The sequence below is a fragment of the Homo sapiens genome, chromosome 2 (assembly GCF_000001405.40).
Source record: "Homo sapiens chromosome 2, GRCh38.p14 Primary Assembly".
Classification (NCBI taxonomy): domain Eukaryota; kingdom Metazoa; phylum Chordata; class Mammalia; order Primates; family Hominidae; genus Homo; species Homo sapiens.
In genome coordinates this window covers 151,331,455-151,354,630 of record NC_000002.12, presented here as the reverse complement: position 1 = coordinate 151,354,630, position 23,176 = coordinate 151,331,455, and the positions used below count along the sequence as shown (strand labels likewise).

At 40.7% G+C, this 23,176-nt stretch overlaps 1 long non-coding RNA gene across 1 annotated transcript in view, besides 1 other annotated feature; it reads left to right on the top strand.

Moving 5' to 3' along the window:
• Positions 1 to 16,805, top strand: part of LOC101929319 (uncharacterized) — a 41,546-nt gene extending 24,741 nt beyond the window's left edge. Inside the window, exon 3 of the long non-coding RNA NR_110248.1 lies at positions 15,232 to 16,805. This is a non-coding gene — a long non-coding RNA (uncharacterized LOC101929319). The remainder of the gene's footprint in view (positions 1 to 15,231) is intronic.
• Positions 15,006 to 15,526: an enhancer, noted in NCBI's record as "OCT4-NANOG hESC enhancer chr2:152195619-152196139 (GRCh37/hg19 assembly coordinates)". NCBI's record gives its function as "activates a minimal SCP1, AML or CMV promoter by ChIP-STARR-seq in primed H9 embryonic stem cells {active_cell/tissue: H9 hESC(primed)}" and the evidence as "EXISTENCE:reporter gene assay evidence [ECO:0000049][PMID:30033119]".
• Positions 16,806 to 23,176: the final 6,371 nt, after the last annotated feature.

Below are 23,176 nucleotides of genomic sequence, written 5' to 3'. Positions count from 1 at the left end.
ACTATAGCCTGGGCAACAGAGCGATATGCTGTCTCGAAAGAAAAAAAACAGCAAGAGAGACGCTAAAGTAGAATTTTAAACATCTATTAGCAGTTAAGAGGAAATATTTTATATCCTTTTGACATGCTGAGTCTCAGCTGACAGGAAAAAGGGATGGAGAAGTGTCAGGTGAATATAGACAGGAGAAAAAGAAAGAGAGAAGGAAAACAGGTTCTAAGACAACATGTCTGATTATACTTAAGACTGGATTTGAATGGCAAGATGTGCAAAAATGCAATTCTTTGATACACTGTATGAAAATTAAAATATAAATTATATCCTTTATTAAGCATATGTTGCAATCTTGGAAAGAGCAGGAAAAAAACCAAGATGAGATTAGCAAAGGGTGGAGCTCCGTGAATCACAAAATATGTCAATACAGGACATTTTTAACACTGCCAATAAGGACATAAAATTGCAATACAGGAATGCCCCACCCATCCCAGAATCTCCACATGGACTAGGATAGGAATAAAAGCAATAAATGAAGAAAAACCCATTCCCCTTGAGTGTGACTTAAAATGATTGGAGAGAAATTCTTATGTGTGACATAGAACATACTTAAAGAAATGAAACATGTGGCATTGTACTCGTTCATTCAATAATCAGTGCAAACTTTTACAGGGTCAGTGAGCAGGATAGAGCCTAACTAGAACAATGGGAAATCTTTGGAAAAGTGAAATATTTATTTATTTATTTTTTTGAGACAGAGTTTCGCTCTTGTTGCCCAGGCTGGAGTGCAATCACAATCTCGGCTCACTGCAACCTCCACCTCCCAGGTTCAAGCAGTTCTGCCTCAGCCTCCCGAGTAGCTGGGATTACAGGCATGCGCCACCATGCCCGGCTAATTTTGTATTTTTAGTAAAGATGGGGTTTCTCCATGTTGGCCAGGCTGGTCTCGAACTCCTGACTTCCAGTGATCTGCCCACCTCGGCCTCCCAAAGTGCTGGGATTATAGGCATCAGACACCATGCCCAGCCTATTTAATTATTGTATATCAAAAAGCTTTGAGACAGTGAATATGAGCCTATGTACAACACCGAATGGAATAATGCACTTTCAAGTTTATGGGTAAACAGATGTCAGAAAGAGATCCAAAATTGATGTCGGACTTCCAGTTGTTAATGCAGTGTGACAGTTGTTAGTAATCTTCACCAAATATTTCCAGCTTGTCAACTTCCAGCAAACATGATAGCATTGTATGTGTGTCCCTCTGTGGTTTGGTGGAACCATGTGATTATTTTTGGCTAATGAGATGTGAGCAAAAATTATGTATGTCATCTTAGAGTGAGAATTTGATTGCTAATGCTCCAGAACTCTTTCCTTCTGGCATGGCGGGAAACATTTGTGATGACAGCTGCTCTTTCACCCTGATTCCAATTGATCCCTGGATTTTATATAACATGAATGAACTATAAACTTTTGTTATTTTACGTTATTGAGATTTTGGGGTCATTTATTACTGCTAGCATAACAATCTATCCTGATTTGTAGGAAGAAGTGAGCTAATATAGATATTAAAACAAAGGGTAAGTTTAAAAGGTTAGCAGTCTAAGGACATTCAGATGCAAAAACTAAGACAAGAAGGAGAAATACGAAGAGGAGGAAATAAGAATGAGGAAAAGAAGACAGTGATTAATGGATTTAATATTCTTCCTCTGCCCACCTCCCAAACTCCTAATAACACACAGCTCCTCGATCTATGATTTGCCTCTCCAAATTTATTGACCAGTACCCCCCCCATATGCATTTATTCCAATCAGACTGCTTCCTGTTCCTCTAAGTCTTGAAAACATGTCTTCTTTCCTTGCCTCTTGTCTTCTCTAACTAGTCAGGGAATCACCGAACTCAGTGTTAGAAACCAAGAGATCAGCTGGCTCAAATTCTACCTGTTGTAAATCACTGCTATGCTGCCCTTATTTATTCATTTATTATTTGAGAAGTGAGGTCTTGCTATGTTGCCCAGGCTGACCTCCAACTTCTGTGCTCAAGTGATTCTCCTGCCTCAGCCTCCTGAGTGGCTGGAACTATAAGTGAACATCATCACACCTTCGTAACCTGAAATCCTTAAAACTTTGGCTCATCCTTAAACTGAGGCCTACAGAGTAAGTCTTACTTCCATCGGCTTTCAGGAAAAATTTCTATGACCTATGAAGCCCGGAGCAAAGAATCAAGCACATATATTTGAAAACAAATTTAAAATATGCTCACTTAAAATTTCCCTTTTAAATATTTTTACAAGATAGGTTCTAAAACATTACGTTTAGAGTGATCCTATGTGATAAAAGGTACATCTTGAGCCTAGAAGTTCAAGGCCAGTCTGGGCAACATATTGAGACCCTGTCTTTACAAAAAAAAAATTTAAAAATTAGCTGGGCATGGTGGTGTGTGCCTAACTATTTGAGAGGCTGAGGCAGGAAGATTGCTTGAGCTTGGGATGTCGAGCTATAGTGAGCTATGATGGCGTCACGGCACTCCAGCTTAGACAACAGAGTAAGACAGCAAGACTCTGTCTCTGTCTCTCAAAAACAAATGAAAAAAATTAAAAACAACAAATAAAGAAAAATATATGTGTAAATATATGTAAAGGGAAAGTCCAGAAAGATATACACACAAATGCCAAATATCTCTGCATGGTGGAGTTATGCTTTGATGATTGGGAGCTTTCTAATTTCCTCTTGTTTTTTTTTGTATTAAATGAATTTTTGTCTAATAAATATATATCATTTGTGTAATGAACATGCATCATTTGTGTAATGAATAAGAAAAGTTATAATTCATATACATATATTTATTTTTTATTTTATTTTTGAGACATATATGTACATATATTTAAAGGTCTTGGCCTAATTGACACAGCAATGAGACTGTTAAAGAATATTTGCTTATTTATTTTTATTTTTTTATTTGAGTTTCTTTTTTTATTTGAGTCTTGCTCTGTCACCCAGGCTGGAATTAAAAAAATAAAAATAAAAAAACTAAAAAAAAAAAAAAGCAAGCAAGAAGATGGTAATATATATATTTTTTTTTGAGACAGAGTTTTGCTCTTGTCACCCAGGCTGGAGTGCAATGGCACGATCTCGGCTCACTGCACCCTCTGCCTCCTGGGTTCAAGGGATTCTCCTGCCTCAGCCTCTGGAGTAGCTGGGATTACAGATGCCCACCACCACACTCAGCTAATTTTTGTAATTTTAGTAGAGACGGGGTTTCACCATGTTGGCCAGGCTGGTCTTGAACTCCTGACCTCAAGTGATCCACCCTCCTCGGCCTCCCAGGTGCTGGGATTACAGGCATGAGCCACCACACCTGGCCTAGGATGGTAATATAATTTTTGAAAATAAACTTTTCCTTTCCATCATGTAGGCAGAGGCTACAGTGAGCTGAGATCATGTCACTGCACTCCAGCCTGAGTGACAGAGTGAGATTTTGTCTCAAAAATAAAATAAAATAAAATAAAATAACTGTGAGAACAAGAGTATTAGGATTTTACAAATTCCTAAGAAACTGGAGTATTGTGTTTTTAACCAAGTATGTGGTTAAAAGGAACTATTGTCTTTCCAAAGAAAAACAGATTAGTCATTATAGGATGAAAGCCAAGTAATAATTCATAGATTTGTGCTAGGTTACATGGCACAGAAGGTTACTTTTTTAATTTTAATTTTAATTTTTTGAGACATGGTCTCACTCTGTCATCCAAGCTGGAGTGTGATCATGGCTCATGGCAGTCTCAACCTCCCCAGGTTCATTTTTGTATTTTCTGTAACGATGGAGTTTTGCCATGTTGGCCAGGCTGGTCTTAAATTCCTGGGATCAAGTGATCCTCCCGCCTCAGCCTCCGAAAGTGCTGAGATTACAGGCATGAGTCACTGTGCCCAGACAACTTTTGGATAACTCCAGTGTACTTGAGGTCTATATCTTAGCGTCTAAATAGATATTTAATTTTTTGCAAATGTTTACTGAGGGCATTGTTTATGTTGAGCATTATGCTGTATATAGTAGGTAGGGATATAAAGATTAATAAAATATCATCTCAAAGAGTTCACACTTTCCTATTTGGAATATTCTCAAGTTGATTTGATTATTCACTTGGAAGTTTTGGAAAGGGGTTTAGTTAAATGTAATGCTATGTCCATTGTCATTCCACATCCTCTGGCACAGTGAAGGGAAAAATCTACCAGGAAAATGTTTGATCTTAGGATCTTTGGTACTGATAACGCTGGCAAGAGTAGCTGCCACCAGGGCTAGTGGCTTTGTCCATGAAGTATTAGATATAGTTAGGTAGGCCGAGTGCATCCTTCTTCAAAGAAATAATTTGTGTCATCGGAAACAGCCTGCCTTTAGAGACAACTTCCTTTCTGCCTTGATGTCCTGCTCAATTGCTATGGACAAGATCTTTGCATCTTCTTCCACTCATCATCCCTTCTTTCAGTACAACAGGTAGGATGAAGGGAAGGAGAGAAATCAAGCACATCTCCTAGATCTTTCACCTCTGTTACCAAGAAGCATGAGTGAGAGAAATCCTAGGTTTCATTCTTGATTTCTCTCACCAATCTCATCCAATCCACTTCCATGTCCTGTGGTCTCTACCTTCAAAGACAAAATGGTAGCAGAGATTGTTGGAAGATTACCACAAAGGTTCTCTTTTTCCTGGGCACAGTCACAGACTCTATTTCCCTGCCCTTTGCCATTTTGTGCAGTCAAGTGGCTAGATTCTAGCTAGTAGGATGTGAGTTAACATGAAGTATAACACTTTCTGTCCAGGCCCGTGAGGCGTTTGCTCATTTGCGATCTGATGCCTGAATGAGGACTTTTGAGACTTTGAGGAGAGTGGAACCAAAAGACAGAAAAAGCCTCATTTTCTGTGTGACCAGGTAGAGGGGATTGCACCAGTCAGGAACACCAAACAAAATTCTACTCGGTTAAGCCACTGGGATTGGGATTTACTTGTTACCCTAACTAAACAATACCACTGATTGGTCTGCCTCTTTCCATCTCTATGCTACCACCCCAGTCCATGACACCACCATCTCTTGCTTAGACTGTTATAATAGCTTCTTATCTCCTCCCTTTCTCTTTTGCTACCTAGAAGTCATTCTCTGTAAAGCAACCTGGATGCTGTTTTAAAAGCAGAAATCAGACCTTGTAACTTCCCTGCTTAAAAACCCCTCAAGTTTTCCTGTAGCACCAAAAACAACATCAATCACTTGATCCTGGCTTCCAAGCTGCCCGCCATTTCCCATGCTCTGGGTCTTGTCTACTTCTTAAACCTCACCCATCCTGTCTTAACTTGAGCATGCCAAGCTTGTTCCCACTATAGGGATTTTGCAATCACTGTTTCCTTTTTTTGTGATAAATCTTCCCTTCGTCTTCTTTCTTGCATTCAATCTCAGCTTAATTACTACCTCCTAGGTGAGGACCTTGTTACCCAATCTAAAGTAGCATTCAGTCACTTGTATTTTAGGACCCTATTTCTTTTTTTTTTTTGAGGCAGGGTCTCATTCTGTCACCCAAGCTGGAGTGCAGTGGCATGATCTTGGCTCACTGCAAGCTCTGCATCCAGGGTGCAAATGATCCTCCTGCCTCAGCCTCCCAAGTAGCTGAGACCACAGGCATGCACCACCATACCTGTCTAATTAGGACCCTATTTTCTTAAATGTCAGGTTTTTTGAGGTATAATTTATGTCCAGTAAGAGTTATCCTTTACAAGGTATACCATTCTATGAATTCCAAAAAACACATTCAGTTGTGAAACTGTCACCGTCACAATCAGGATGTAGAGTATTTCCGTTACCCCAAAAAGTTCCCTCAATATCACTCTACTTTAGATCTCTGCATTGAATTTATCACCATCTAATATTCTTACTTTATGTATTCATGTATCTTTTCATTCATTTGTTTAATTGTTGTCTTCTACTAAAATATATGTCCATTTAAACAGAGATCTTATTTCCTCACTCACCTCTGAATCCATTGGTATGCTGTAGAGTCTCAACAAATATTTTTGAAGGAAGGAAAGTGAGAAGGAAGAAAGGCAGGGAGGGAGGGTAGGAGGGTCTCTATGACTTCACATGTCCAGAGGGGATGTGTAATAAAACCTTTTCTAGAGTGCTTTTGAGGACCACAGGAGATGTTGACTAAAAGCCCCTAGCATCATGCCTGGCATTCAGTAGTCTACAGTTCATGTAGTTACCATCGCCTTTGAAGTTAGTTTATCAGTCTTCCTTGGCCAGCTTGATGTTTTCAGTAAGACTGGTCTTCTTCTTCTTCCTTTTGCTGTTTTGTTCCATCATGCTGCCTTCTACTGGTCCAGGGCTTTTTTCTCACTAGTGAGACAACTTGACAACTTTTCAAGGCATGCAGGTCACTGACCTCTCTCGGCAGCCTCCATACTAGCAGGAAAGGGAAGCTTTCAGGTTCCTTCTTGCTCTGGCCAATAATTGCATGAATTTCTTTCACAAGACCCACGGTCCTATATTAAGGAGTGAGATAAGGGATTCTCTATTGTCTCCTGTCTTTACAGCTCCAGTGACTCAGCAGACAAGCTCACTGATATGGTTCTCGTCTTGAATTGTAGCTCCCATAATCCCCAGGTGTTGTGGGAGGTAATTGAATCACGGGGGCAGTTACCCCCGTGCTGCTGTTCTCATGATAGTGAGTGAGTTCTCATGAGATCTGATGGTTTTATAAGGGACGTCCATCCTCCTTCCCTCGGCACTCACTTCTCTCGCCTGCTGCCATGTGAGACATGCCTGTTTTGCCTTCCACCTTGATTGTAAGTTTCCTAAGGCCTCCCTAGCCATGGAGAACTGTGAGTCAATTAAACTCCTTTTCTTTATAAATTACCCAGTCTTGGGTAGGTCTTCCTAGCAGCATGAGAATGGACTAATACACTCACTCTGCTGTGAGATTCCTGAGCTCTCTCAAGGATTTACTGTTCTTTCTAAGCTCCCTTTAGTGTGCAACCTTGACCTGAACCTCAAAGGAGTCAGCACCCTTCATGTCAGCCCTGATATCCTTTCCAGAGAGGCATTTGCCCATAGCTGATGCTCACTTAGCTTCAGGTTGCAGTTTTCAGATTTCCTATGGCATCCAATTGAAAATGCTCTGTCATCATTCTCTACCCCCCATCTCAAGGGTACTTCTGAATGTCTGTGTGCATGGGGGACCTTTGTTTTAGTTCTTCTTAGCCAATTTAGCATACTGTGCAGCAATGTAAAGAATGAGAAGGAAGAATTCCAGTACTCATGGGGGGACATTTATTTAATCAGTATTATTTGAGTATTTTAAATGACAAGTAGTTACTGAGTAACTAAAATTAAATTAATCTAGAAATGTAAAAAAAGCCAAAACTGATTTGATCTGTTATCTAACTTGAGACCTGGGAGAAAGTTTCATGAGCCTCTTTCTGATACCCTCATCTTGCAGACATAAAAATGGATGCCCACAGAAATTAAACTGGCTAGTCAAAGTCATATTTATCAGAATCTGAACTAAGACCCAGGTCTGTTAACTCCTGTTCACAAATCATTACTAAAGTCAACATGCTATCTCCTGGCGAGGGAAAAAGTGGTGAAGGCCCAAATGAAAGCCTTTCTGGCTATTTAATACACTGTCACTGCACAGCCAAAGCTCAGAGATATCGATAGCCTAAGAATCAACTGGGGGAGGCTGGCATATAAATCATTGCTGTGGCACCCTTGAAAAAGAAGATAATACTGCATATATTGAGATGAAACAGTAGCTAATAGCAATAAATGCATTCTTTAAACAAAAAATTATCTTTAAACTGTGTTAGTGTCTTGATGAGATAGTCTTGCCAGGGCCAAAATGTTCCAAGTGAAGGGAAACACATTTATGGAGGTTCGGAAATGGAAACAGATGACTCCTTTGGAGAACAGCAAGTTCTTCAGTATAGCTGGGGAAGAAGGGGCATAGTAGGAGATGGAGAGAAGTGGTAGGAGATGCGGCCTGAAGGAAGCACCAGCCAAGTCTTCTTTGCAAAAGTAAGGAGTTTGAATTTTATCCTGAAAGCTAGGGACAACTTGTAGGGGCCAAGAAACTTTCTAAAACATGTTTCTTTTCTTAATTACTTAAGCCTCAAGACTCTTTTCAGAGGTCCTCTCATTCATGAACTTGTTTGACTCCTTGGACAGTTAAGTGTATTTTATTTATTTAAGAGCTTTAAGGGTTCCAATCTGTTTGGAAGGAAGATATTTTTAACCTGATGTTTCTCTCTCTCTCTCTCTAGATACACAGATAACATATATTTGGTATACTTTGCCATCAGGTGCTATTGGGAAAATAAATAAATATAAACAAGAACACACATACCTTTTTTTTTTTAAGACAGGGTCTCACTCTGTATTTCTGCTCAGGCTGGAGTGCGGAGTGACACAATCACGGCTCACTGCAGCCTCGCCCTCTCAGGCTCAAGCGATTCTCCCGCCTCAGCCTCCTGAGTAGCTGGGACTACAGGTGTGTGCTACCATGCCCAGCTAATTTTTGTATTTTTTGTAGAGACTGGATTTCACCATGTTGCCCAGGCTGGTCTCAAATTCCTGGGCTCAAGCAATTTTCCTGTCTTGGCCTCCCCAAGTGCTGGGATTACAGGCATAAACCACCACTCCCAGCCACATGTAATTTTTAAAAAATAATTATTTGTCCATGTTTGTTTCACTATCACCTAATGAATACCAGTTAGATTTTTTTTTCTTAGATGGAGTCTTGCTCTGTTGCCCAGGCTGGAGTGCAATGGCGCGATCTCTGCTCACTGCAACCTCCGCCTCCCAGGTTCAAGCGATTCTCCTGCCTCAGCCTCCCGAGTAGCCGTGATGACAGACACCCACCACAACGCCTGGCTAATTTTTATTTTGTATTTTTAGTGGAGATGGGGTTTCACCATGTTGGCCAGGCTGGTCTTGAACTCCTGACCTCAAGTGATCTGTTGACCTCGACCTCCCAAAGTGCTGGGATTACAGGTGTGAGCCACCACGCCTGGCCCTACCATTTAGATTTAAAAATCTCCTCCTTAGAAACAGATTGTAGCCCTTAAATCTCTCCTATAGAGAAATTACAGAGCTGCCATGAAAGATAAAAAAATTTAAAAAAATACATTCATAAAAGGACTAAAAACTAGAAAAAATATTGTCATCAAACAGACATTTTGAAAAATTCCAAAGAGAAACAAAATTAGCTGGGCACAGGAAAATATATAAGCAGGAAAGTACTTCTACTAAAGGTGGAAGTGGCTCCAGGATTGTTCTAAAAACACAGCAATGGATGTAAAGAGTAAGAGGGGTCTCTCTAGCAATCATTAGTGTGATGGGGGAAGCATCCAGAATGGTTAGTTGGTTCCTGTCCTGGCAAGTGGAAGAGAGCATAACTGTTCCCTCCTTGTGGAAGGACTGAGGGTGAGTACTGCAGTCAGAGGAAGGGCAGTATCCTGGAGGACTATTTTACCCTCAGAAGGGAAGAGAAACTGGTATTTCCAGTAGATGAGCTATTGTCACATCCCAAGAGGGCAGCAGACTCTACTCCTTCTTCACAGTAACTGGTGCAGACTCTATTGAACAAAGCAGAATTCTCGGATCCCAAATACCCATATGAACTGAAAACCAAACATCATCAACCATTAAATGAAGAGCAAAATCATGAAAGAGAAGCACCGAACTCAACAGACAGAACTAACACAGAAGGAAGCTGAATTTATATATCAAAAAGCAAGAGTAGATTATAATCATGAAACAAGAATAGAATATTCTGAAACAGAACTAATGAATGATGATGGCAATATAATCATTGAAATAAAAACTCAACTGGTAACCTGAAGAGCAGAATGGACACAATTGAAGACTGAATACAAAATGGGAAATTAAAAAGAAGAATAATTCCCGCACGTAATGCAAGAGAACAGAAAGATGATGAGTATGATAGAAATGTTGAGACAAGACTTAGAGACCCACATTTTTCACATTTATCTAGGCTATCTAGGCAGATCCTAAAATAATGATGTTGAATATATTCTCATATGTTTATTATTGGTATTTCTAGCTCTGGAACTTTTTTTTTTGAGACAGGATCTCACTCTGTCACCCAGGCTGGAGTGCAGTGGTGCAATCATGGCTCAGTGTAGCCTCGACATCCCGGGCTCAAGTGATCCTCCTGCCTTGGCCTCTCGAAGCTGTGGGATTACAGGTATGAGTCACTGTGCCTGGCCTGGAACTTCTTTTTTATGCTAGGCTGAATCACTGAAGCTAGTCACATTTTTAAGTTGTTTTTTTTTAATTTTTAAATAAGACTGTCTCACTGTCACCCAGGCTGGAGTGCAGTGGCACAATCTCAGCTCACTGCAACTTCTGCCTCCTGGGTTCAAGCAATTCAGCCTTCCGAGTAGCTGAGATTACAGGCATGCACCACCACACTCAGCTAATTTTTGTATTTTTAGTTGAAATGGGGTTTCGCCATGTTGGCCAGGCTGATCTCCAACTTCTGACCTCAGGTGATCTGCCCACCTTGGCCTCTCAAAGTGCTGAGATTACAGGCATGAGCCGCTGCTCCCGGCCTGCTGGTCAAGTTTTAAGGATTAGCAAGAATGATGACTCAGACTAGGCTGAGACTACCTTTGCAAGAACAAGGACACTGATGCTCCAGGTATGTTCTTTTTTTTTTGAGACAGAGTCTCCCTCTGTTGCCCAGTCTGGAGTGCAGTGGTGCAATCTCGGCTCACTGCAAGTGCCACCTACCGGGTTCATGCCATTCTCCTGCCTCAGCCTCCCGAGTAGCTGGGACTACAGGTGTCTGCCACCACGCCCAGCTAATTTTTTGTATTTTTAGTAGAGACAGGGTTTCATCGTGTTAGCCAGGATGGTCTCGATCTCCTGACCTTGTGATCCACCTGCCTTGAACTCCCAAAGTGCTGGGATTACAGCACTTTGCCACTGCGCCTGGCCCCAGGTATGTTCTTTTCCAGTGCATCTCATATTTGTCATGAAAGCATACCTACGGTTTGGTTAGCTCTGCTACCTTTAAGAAAGTGGAATCCTTCAGGTCAGAAGATCCCAGAACTATGGGTCTTTTATTCTGTTTTGGTTTGGGGAGGTGGGTAATGAAAGTCAGAAATGTTAGCAGGTGGGCACAGTGGCTCATGTCTGTAATCCCAACACTTTAGAAGGCCTGAGGCCAGGAGTTCAAGATCAACCTAGGCAACATAGTGATACTCCATCCCTACAAAAAAATACAAAAACATTAGCTGAGTATAGTGGCATGCACCTGTAGTCCCAGGCACTTGGGAGGCTGAGGTGAGAGAATTGCTTGAGCCTAGGAGGTGGAGGCTGCAGTGAACGGTGATTGCACCATTACACTCCAGCCTGGGCAATAGAGCAAGACCCCATTCCTTAATAAAATTTTTAAAAAATGTTAGCACTCACGACTTTAACTTATGATCACAAAAGGGATTTCCAGTGTCACAATGGTATACTTTCATGTTTTATTTTTGCTTTGCCATTGGATGTACTCAGAGTTTCAGTGCTAAAGGCCTGCACCTTGCTTCTCATACGATCTTTGCCTATTTTTTCATTAAGTGTTGACATTTGCCTTTTTTTTTTTTTTTTTTTGAGATGGAGTTTCACTCTTGTTGCCCAGGCTGGAGTGAAATGGCCTGGTCTCGGCTCACTGCAACTTCCACCTCCTGGGTTCAAGCGATTCTCCTGCCTCAGCCTCCCGAGTAGCTGGGATTACAGGCACCCGCCACTATGCCCAGCTAATTTTTGTATTTTTAGTAGAGACGAAGTTTCACCAAGTTGGTCAGGCTGGTCTCGAACTCCTGACCTCAGGTAATCCACCTGCCTCAACCTCCCAAAGTGCTGGGATTACAGGTGTGAGCCACTGCGCCTGGTGACATTTGCCATTCCTTTTTTTTTTTAAGACGGAGTCTTGCTCTGTCACCCAAGCTGGCGTGCAGGGGTGCTATCTCGGCTTACTGCAAGCTCTGCCTCCCAGGTTCCTGCCATTCTCCTGCCTCAGCCTCCCGAATAGCTGGGACTACAGGTGCCCACCACCACCCCCAGCTAATTTTTTGTATTTTTAGTAGAGACAGGGTTTCACCGTGTTAGCCAGGATGGCCCTGATCTCCTGACCTCGTGATCCGCCCACCTTGGCCTCCCAAAGTGCTGGATTACAGGCGTGAGTCACCGCGCCCAGCCAACATTTGCCATTTCTAAGCATTCAATATAACATCTATGTTTCCCTTCCTTCCACTGCAAAAGAAACTATTATTATTCAAAATTCTGTTTCCTATTCCCTTATGAAACTCCTTTATCCTCCACAGGTAGAATACATTTCAGTCAGATGTTTTTAAAAGAAATTTTTTTGTAGACATGGGGTCTTGGAGTCTTGTGATGTTGGCTAGGCTGATCTTGAACTCTTAGCCTCAAGCAATCCTTCTGCCTCAGCCTCCCAAAGTGTTGGGATTGCAGGCATGAGCCACCATACCTGGCCTTATCTTAGACTGTCTTAAGAAGAGTTCATTCTTATGATAACAATATTTTCTGAGTCAAAAGTGAGGTCAGGCATTGGCTTAGACAAGGATTTCATGACCAAAAACCCAAAAGCAAATGCAATAAAAACAAAGATAAATAGCTGGGACCTAATTAACCTAAAGAGCATTTGCACAGCAAAAGGAACAGTCAGCAGATTAAACAGACAACCCACAGAGTGGGAGAAAATCTTCACAATCTATACATCTGACAAAGGACTAATAACCAGAATCTACAACGAACTCAAACAAATCAGTAAGAATAAAACAAACAATCCCATCAAAAAGTGGGCTAAGGACATGAATAGACAATTCTCAAAAGAAGATATACAAATGGCCAACAAACATATGAAAAAATGCTCAACATCATAAATGATCAGGGAAGTGCAGATCAAAACCACAATGTGATACTACCTTACTCCTGCAAGAATGGCCATAATCAAAAAATCAAAAAAACAGTAGATGTTCACATGGATGAGGTGATCAGGGAACACTTCTACATTGCTGGTGGGAATATAAACTGGTACAACCACTATAGAAAACAGTGTGGAGATCCCCTAAAGAACTAAAAGTAAAACTACGATTTGATCCAACAATCCCACTACTGGGTATCTACCCAGAGGAAGAGAAGTCATTATTTGAAAAAGATACTTGCAAATGCATGTTTACAGCAGAACAATTCCCAGTTGCAAAAATGTGGAACCAACCCAAAAGCCCATCAATCAACGAGTGGATAAAAAAATCTGTGGTATATATATATATGATGGAATACTACTCAGCCATAAAAAGGAATGAATTAACAGCATTTCCAATGGCCTGGATGAGATGGGAGACTATTATTGTAAGTGAAGTAACTCAGGAATGGAAAACCAAACATCGTATGTTCTCATCGATATACGGGAGCTAAGCTATGAGGATGCAAAGGCATAAAAACGATGCAATGGACTTTGGGGACTTGGGGGGAAGAGTGGGAAGCGGGCGAGGGATAAAATACAACACATGTGGTGCAGTGTATACTGCTTGGATGATGGGTGCACCAAAATCTCACAGATCACTACTAAAGAACTTACTCATGTAACCAAATACCACCTGTACCCCAATAGCTTATGGAAAAATAAAATAAAATAAAAATGAGGTCAGGGCCGGGCATGGTGGTTCACTCCTGTAATCCTAATACTTTGGGAGGCTGAGGCAGTTGGATAACTTGTGCCTGGGAGTATAAGGCCAGCCTTGGCAACATGGTGAAATCTCATCTTTACAAAAAATACAAAAAATTAGCTAGGCATGGTGGTGTGTACCTGTGGTTCAAGCTACTTGGGAGGCTTAGGTGGGAGGATCACCTGAGCCTGGGAAGTCAAGAGTGCAGCGAGCTGTGACCTCACCACTGCACTCCAGCCTGGGCGATAGGAGTGAGACACTATCTCAAAAAAAAAAAAAAAAAAGAGGTCAGGACATAACATTGACACATGGTAAGATTTGTTGAGCGCATAAACAAATGTATTCTTTTTTTTTTTGAGACGGAGTCTTGCTCTGTCGCCCAGGCTGGAGTGCAGTGGCGCGATCTCGGCTTACTGCAAGCTCCGCCTCCCTGGTTCACGCCATTCTCCTGCCTCAGCCTCCCGAGTAGCTGGGACTACAGGCGCCCGCCACCAGGCCCGGCTGATTTTTTGTGTTTTTACTAGAGACGGGGTTTCACCGTGTTAGCCAGGATGGTCTTGATCTCCTGACCATGTGATCTGCCCGCCTCGGCCTCCCAAAGTGCTGGGATTACAGGCTTGAGCCACTGTGCCCGGCCAACAAATGTATTCTTTGAAAACACTCCTGTTCTGGAAAAGGCACGCCACAAACATAGCAGTTATTTCACTGAATGTATAGGTGTGGCTTAAAAAATAGCACCTGCAACCTAAGGAGCATACCAATCAGCATCAGAATGGTAATTTGTAAGAACCATACAGCCTGGTACTAGGAAGAACGCAGATTTGAATTCAGGTGAATTACCTTTGTGACCTTAAGCATATTACTTTCTCGCTGAACTTCAGTTTACTTGTCTGTAAGATGTGGGTACATATATGCTTTGCAGTGCTCCTCTGAGATTTAAGGAAGCTAATCTATGAAAAGGGCTTGCGATACCTGATGCACAGTCGGCACTCAATGAAAACTCATTCCCTTGTGACTTTATCGTGCATTTCTCAAAGAAGTCCTCATCAAGTATTTAATTGGATTATCATAATACAGATAATGTTTTTAATTTTGGAAAATTAGTTTTGAGTACACCACAACTGGTCTGGAATATTTCATTCGCAAGTTAGAATAAAACATAAATCCATTTAAAAAAAGGTCTTCCATTTCAGTCGTCATTATCCTCATTTCTCTCCATCTTACCAAAAGAGCAGTATCAATGGCAGTGGAATTGCAAACCAATTGGCAGCTGAATAACTTTCAACACTCTCTCTGTCACACACACACACACACACACACACACACACACACACACACACACGCATGTGCACATGCACACAGGCTGCCTGAGTGCCTGTGTGCACAGAGGCACACAGTTTTCTGAAACAGAAAAACATTCCAGGAGACAGTGATGCTTTTAGGATTTTCCAAGTGGAATTTCCTCTCTTCCTTTCCTTTCTTGGTTTTGTCCCTCCCAGCAGGTCAGAAAAAGGTGCACAGCAGGATGTGAAGATCTCTCTGCTCTGAGCGCGGGCTGGTTCTTTCGATGTCAGGGAACTTCTCAAATGAGAAGAGATGGAAGAAGAGATTTTTGAGGGAGGAGAGAGAAAGTCACTTTACACCAGGGAAGAGGAAGAGAGGAGACTCAGAATGCAAGCAAACACTGCTGTTCTTCTTCCGCTTCGTTAATACGAATTACTGCCAACAATCTGCTGCATTCACATCTTGCTGGGTATTTAAAAATCCATCCCAAATTTGCCTCATTTCTGTCACTCTTCTTGGTGTGCTTGTAGATGAATGGTTATAGAAGTTTATTTGTAAAAATGGTAAATATTACTTCTCTATTAAGATCAAATTTTTTCTCGAAAGATTCAACACAACTAATTATTATGAAAATAAATATAATTATCGTACTGTTGAAATACTTAATATAATTATATGTTGTGTGGCGTCTCAGGCTACTTGCCCCTGACTGTCTCACCCACCCCTTGCTAACCTGGCTGCCTTTTTCTGTGGGACAAATTCCTCCTTAGCTTCCTGAATATTTCTCTATGTCAGACTTATTTTATCTTATTTTTCCAGATTAGAGGTTTTTGGTGGTTGGGGGAAGAAGTGCTGCAGATATACATGGCTTAGCTTTTCTCTACAATATGATTTTTAAAAGTAATGTTCATCTAACTAAAAAGCAAATGTTTTTCTCATCATTGTCAATTGGTTTTCAAATACTGTCCCTCTCTCTAGATACTATCTCCCACCCCTCCAGCCACATCAAAAGTCTCACTATAGGAGTATTGGGACTATGGCTGAAATTTTACTGTCAAGCGAACTTTTACTGCTTTTCCAAAGTTCTATCCAAATACCATCTCCTTTGTGAAGTGTTCTTTGCTTCTCTTGAGCAATTAATCACTTGAATCATTTCCTTCTCTGTGTTCCCATAGCACAAAGGACATATCTCTACTATGCGTAGTGTATCTTTTTGCATATCCGTCTCCCCAACATTGGCTGTGAGGTGAATAAATGTTTTAAGCACTTTTATTTTTATTTTTGTAGACATGGAGCTTTGCTATGTTACCCAAGCTGATCTCAGACTCCTGGTCTTAAGCGATCCTCCCATGTTGGCCTCCCAAAGTGTTGGGATTACAGGCATGAGTCACCACACCAAGCCACACCAGTTTTAAGCACTTTTAATACATAAGGACAACTTGCCCTCTAGTTGAGTACCTTTTCTCCTCCACTCCAACAAACATTGGATAGCATAATTCTAAAACTCTTTGCTAACAACTTACATCTCTTTGATTACTTTTGTGATGAAACATTAAACAATATGATTTGTATAGTAATGACTGTTTGTGTTTTAAACTGACCATGTTTTGAGTTCAGTTCAATTCTATTATTATGATGTGGCTGACCTCCCCCCAACCTATTACTCCTTCCTATTTGTCACTCTGGGGATTATATGGTAGTGTACTTATCTTGCAAAATATTGCACTGTGGTAATATGATTAAGTTATTTCATCAGAATATAGTATTAAAGCTATAATATGTTCCTGGAAAATTGTAGTGCTGAGCCATTTCTTAATAGTTATTTCTGCCCAGTCACACTACTTCTGAATTACACATCACTACTAGTAAGTCCAATAAAAATTTATTCCAAATGACGTGTTTGCTAATAAATCTGGAGAAAATTTGAAAATTCCCTGGGAGTCAGCAGAAAATAGTTTTTTTTTTTTTCCTGAGACAGAGTTTTGCTCTTGTTGCCCAGGCTGGAGTACAATGGCGTGATCACAGCTCACTGCAACCTCCGCCTCCCGGGTTCAAGCGATTCTCCTGCCTCAGCCTCCTGAGTAGCTGGGATTACAGGTGCCCTCCACCATGCCTGGCCAGGTTAGTCTCAAACTCCTGACCTCAGGTGATCTGCCCATCTTAGCTTCCCAAAGTGCTGGGATTACAGGCGTGAGCCACCGTGCCTGGCCAAGGCTTTACACATTTTAACAAATTTAGTCTTTATAATGATTTCTACCTTCTCCACCCTACTTGGTTTCCTGGGAGGCTGAGATTTGTAGACAGCATCATCAGGGTCACTTGCCATCTGACCTTCAGGAGTGTATGGCTGATGGGAGGCACTGGCATGAGATTGGAGGAAGGAAGGAGGAGGGTCAGGTTGGGATATGTGTTTCCTGACCCCCTTCCTGCCAGATTGAGGCAGTTGTCTGCATCCCTGCTAGAGCATGGAGCCCTTGTGGCCGCCTACATACAGCTACCATCTGGGTGCTGATAAATCATTTCTCCCTTCCTGCCTGGGAGTGGTAATGGTGTTCTGCCCAAATCTTTATAACCAGTGTCTTTATTAAGCCTCCTCTGTTATCCTCCTGGAGTGCTCCATCTCTTTTCTGCCAGGATCCTGGCAGATATGCTTGATTGATAGTTTGGCTGAATGTAGAATTCTTAGTTAGAAATAACCCCTCTCAGAATTTTAATGACATTGCTTATTGCTTCTGACTTCCGGTATTGCTGTTGAAAAGTCGATATTTTGATTCCTGAATTTCTGTCTCCCCAACCCTAAAATCTTGTAAAAATCTTTTTGTCTCTGGTGTTCTGAAATGCCACAAAGTTGCATCTTTTTGAAAGACTTTTTCTACCACTGTGTTGGACAATGAGTTCTTAAAATCTGAATGCATATGTCCTTGAGTACTGGGAATTTTTCATGATGATTTTGCTACTGATTTTCTCCTTTCTTTTTTTCCAAGTTTTCTGTTTCTAGGATTCATGTTTCTATATAATAGATGTTGGAACTTCTAGTTTTACCCTCTAGTTTTCCAGATCTTTTCACTGTTCTTTTATACTTTTTGTCTTTTTTATTTACTTTCTGAGAGGTTTGCCTAACTTTATCTTCCAATGCTTCTATTGAGTTTTTCATTTCTGCCATCACCCTTCTTTTATTTCCCAGATCTGTTTTCTGCTCCTTGAATAAGCCATTTAAAAGTAGATATTTTTCTTTCATGAGTGTAATATCTCCTTTTGACTATATAAGGATAGTGGTTATGTTGGTTTTTGAAGTTTACTTCTTCCTTCTTAGACTCTGTTTCCTCCAAACTCCTTTTGTTCTTTTGTTTTCATCATTTTTTATATTAAATGTTTCTGCAATTCTGATAACCCATGAGTGTTTGCTCATATTTAAGAATTGGGAGTAAAATAATGAATAGTGTCCTGAGTGCACGGGTGAGTCTTCTTGACTATGACATTCATTCTAGGGTGATCTGGCTGGGCTATATTGTTGAAAAACCCTCAATGTCAGTATCTTTGGGTCTGAACCCTTGGACTGGTCCTGGCTGTCAGGTTGCAGGAGTGGTGTGGGGGACGAACGCCAGGGTCTCATCATTCATTATGCAAATATTCGCTTAATCATTCTGTTTTTAGTATATCACATTTATTCTCCATTGTAACTGATTTTGCCCTGTCCAGAGACCCTCTATTTTACTGCCTTCAAGGACGAAGACCCTCCAGTCTTCCACAGGGAAAGGAGAAGGGCGGTGGCCAAGCTGATCAGGGTTGGGGCATGGATCTGGGAGTTATGATGATTTCACAACAGACTTTCAACCAACCTTCACATTTTTTCGACTTTTCTAAGTATATGGCACTACCAATTCCTGAGGCTTTTTTCTTTTTCTCTATAATATAAACCAGTTAATGTTCTTAGAATGCCTCACTACTGGAATAGGATTTAACTATCTTTACTGCTAAGGTAGTTGCCCCTCTCATATGCTTTCTAGCTTCCAAAATCTTTATATTAGAGATTTTTAAAAAATATAACCTTTTAGTGTCATTTTAGCAGGATTTTAGGATGGAGAGAATATTGATGCTTTTGTTAAATTCACCATCTTTACCTACTTAAAGCTGATTATAACTTCTCACAGCTGAAAAGAGTAATCTATAATAGCCGGTTCTTTGCCTTCTATATACTTTAAAGCACTTGCTTCCCCAATATTTGGCTGTTTATTGATCGCTAATGAAACAAGACCACTTGATAATTTGTTGCGACTGGTAAGATATATTCTTCTTACATGGAAATGAACAATCTTTTTTTTTTTTTTTTTTTTTTTTTTTTTTGAGACGCGTCTCGCTCTATCGCCCAGGCTGGAGTGCAGTGGCGTGATCTCTGCTCACTGCAAGCTCCGCCTCCCGGGTTCACGCCATTCTCCTGCCCCAGCCTCCCGAGTAGCTGGGACTACAGTTGCCTGCCACCACGCCTGGCTAATTTTTTGTATTTTCAGTAGAGATGGGGTTTCACCATATTAGCCAGGATGGTCTTGATCTCCTGACCTCGTGATCTGCCCGCCTCAGCCTCCCTGAGTGTTGGGATTACAGGCGTGAGCCACCACGCCCGGCCAGAAATGAGCAATCTTATGAAAAAAGCAAGGGTGACTCAAGAACTGTGCTCTGAGTATTGTTAGAGCACCATTTTAACAACTTAATATGTCCCTATTAGGGCCAGGTAATTTTTGCCCTTGGCCACGGCCACCATGAAACCGTGGCATTTTGTTTTAGCACCTTCTTCTGTCTTTTGAAAAATCTCTCAATACATATGTTCTCAGGAGGAGGTAGTAGCCACCTTGGCCTTGGCAGATTCAGGGGACATGTGGCCTTGGATCATCCTATTGGACATTCTCTCCTGCACTTTTTCATTCACGGATAGAAGGCCGTGGGAACAGATGGAGGCCCTATCTGTCACAGAGGCAGAGGCCTTGTTGTCCTGTTGGAGGACAGTTGCCTGGGTTTCTGTTGTTTGACCTGGTCACACAGTCCTCCCTGAGATTATTCTCAGTTTTCAAGCCTGCTCATCTGGCCACTCATTAATTTAGTCAGCCTTGATGACCTTCTAATAAATTTCTCTTTTACTTAAGATAGCAAGCCATGTTTCAGTTGCAAACAAAAGCCCTGATAAAAACACTGCAACCACAGGAAATGAATGTGCAAGTGCCACAGGAGGCTGGGAGGCTGGGATGGAAGAGAAACGAATCCACCAGGCCTTCAGTAAATAAATTTAAAATACTTGCCCCTTTAGGAATGGATTGCCAGTATTCCCTGCCTATGAAAACAATGGTGGACTTTCACAATTTTTTTTCTTACAATCTAAGAGGATGTCAATGGCCCACTTCTGTGCCTCTGAAATCCCATGTTTGTTTTACCAGAGCCAAAGAGAATGACTCACTAATGAGGACCAGATTTGCCTTGTCTGAAATGCCAAGGGAGTTGTTTAGTAATATTTGGGAGGAATCCCTCATAAATAGCACCAATCTAAAATAGTTCAATAAATTAAATGGGAAATTCAATTGATTTTTGGGCTACCAATATTATGTCACTCTTATATACTCAGTTAAATCAAATGAGTTCAATTTGATTTACGGAGTAATAGTAACAGTTACTCGATTGACAGCAATCTAATCTGACACACACACACACCTTAAGATATTTTAAGTACAAAAGAAATAAATGAAAAAATCTTATTGTAAAAATAATTTTAAAACAGCACAGATATATTTAAAGTAAAACTTGAAAAAGCCTCTTTTTTAATCCTCACTCTCCCCAATCTACCCCCAATCTCATTCCCTCACCATAGATAACCTCTGTTAACAGTTAGATTTGTGTGTCCTTCCAGACCTGGCTGTTACTTTTTCTTTCTACATATCTATACACACATTTGTAGATGTGCCTTTTTACATATTTTTAGTCTTAATCATGTTACTTTGAGGCATGCTTTTTTATTTATCCAATATATTTTAGAGATCTTTTCAAATCAATACATGTAAGACTCCCTTCATTTTTTAAAAGACTATACTGTATTATATAATATGACTTAACCACAATTAACTTGGTGAGTACCATATTTCTGAACTTAAGTCGTTTGCATTTTTTTCTCTATTATAAACAACGCTAACATGGATATTCTGTGTTATATATTAAATGCCTATATGCACATAAGTGTTTTGGTATAGTAAATTATTCCTAGAAGTAGAGTTGTAGGTTAAAGCTGTGCATGTTTAACATTTTCAAAGATCCTGCCCCCCATCAAATAGTCTCCTGTGGTTTTAATTTGCATTTCTATGCTTACTAGGGAGTTCCAGCATCTTCCTTTATACCTTTGTTGTGAAATTACCTGCTCATACTATTTGTTGACTTTTCTAGTAGATTGATTATACCTTTCTTACTGTTTGCCTGAGTAGTATTTTCATAGTAAAACACTTACTTTTTTTTTTTGAGTCTGAGTCTCGCACTGTCACCCAAGCTGGAGTGCAACAGCGTGATCTCGGCTCACTGCAACCTCTGCTTCCCGGGTTCAAGCGATTCTTCTGCCTCAGCCTCCTGAGTAGCTGGGATTACAGGTGTCCACCACTATGCCCGTCTAATTTTTTGTACTTTTTTTTTTTTTTTTGAGACGGAGCCCAGGCTGGAGTGCAGTGGCGCGATCTCGGCTCACTGCAAGCTTCGCTTTCTGGGTTCACACCATTCTCCTGCCTCAGCCTCCCGAGTAGCTGGGACTACAGGTGCCCACCACCACACCTGGCTAATTTTTTGTATTTTTAGTAGAGATGGGGTTTCACCATGTTAGCCAGGATGGTCTGGATCTCCTGAACTTGTGATCCACCTGCCTCGGCCTCCCAAAGTGCTGGGATTACAGGTGTGAGCCACCACGCCCAGCCGATTTTTTGTATTTTTAGTAGAGATGGGGTTTCACTATGTTGGCTAGGTTGGCCTTGAACTCCTGACCTTGTGATCCACCCGCCTCAGACTTCCAAAGTGCTGGGATTACAGGCATGAGCCACCATGCCTGGCATAAAACACTTTCATGATATGCAGAACTTTAAAAGCAAATGACAATTTCACCTCCATTTTGCCTTAATTGACTTATCTGAAGCAATATAAATACTTACTGACTTGCTGAACTTTTTAAGTTGCTTGCCAAGAAGTATATCAATGCCAATCACGTGCATTAAACTGACTTATACTGTATATCTCAAAAATAATTTAAAAAGACAAATAAATTACTGAAGTTATATTCGCTAGATAGCTCTTTTAAATGTTATACTTTTTTTTTTTTTTAAGAGATAGGGTCTCATTCTGTTGCCCAGGCCAGAGTACAGTGGCACGATCCTCCTACATCAGCCTCCAAAAGTGCTAGGATTACAGGCATAAGCCACTGTGTACAGCCATTATATACATTTTAATTAATTTAAAAATTAGAGTGTTTGTAGACCTACGCAAGTTTATGCTAACATTGATATGGAAAGGCACGAGTTCTAAAATAGGCAGCACAATCTTGAAAGAACAGAGAAAGAAGAATCACTCTACCTGATATTAAGGCATACTATATGGCGATAGTAATGAAGACAATGTGTCCTGGCAGAGGGATAGACACAGATCAATAGAATAGATTTTAAAATCCAGAAATAGATCCACACAAATATGCTCAACTAATTTTTGACACAGGTGAAACATTTCAGGAGGAACAGACATTCAACAAATGATGCTGGAAAAATTAGGCATCCATAAGCAAAAAAATGAGTCAGGACCTAAACCTCACACCTTATTCAAACATTAACTCAAAACAGATTATGAACTCAAAGGTAAAATGTAAAATTATAGAAGTTAGGGAAAAAAGAAGAAAATATTAAGGATCTATGGCTAGGTAAAGAGTGCTTAGATGGTACCAAAAACACTATTCATAAAGGGAAAAATTAATAAATTGGACCTCATCGAAAGTTTTAAAACCTTTGCTCTCTGAAAGATCCTGTTAACAGGATGAAAAGACAAGCTACAGACTAGGAGAAAGCTTTGAAATCCATATAGTTAACAAAGGACTAGTATCTGGAATACATAAAGAATACTCAAAATGCAACAGCAAAATAACAAACAATCCAATCAGAAAAT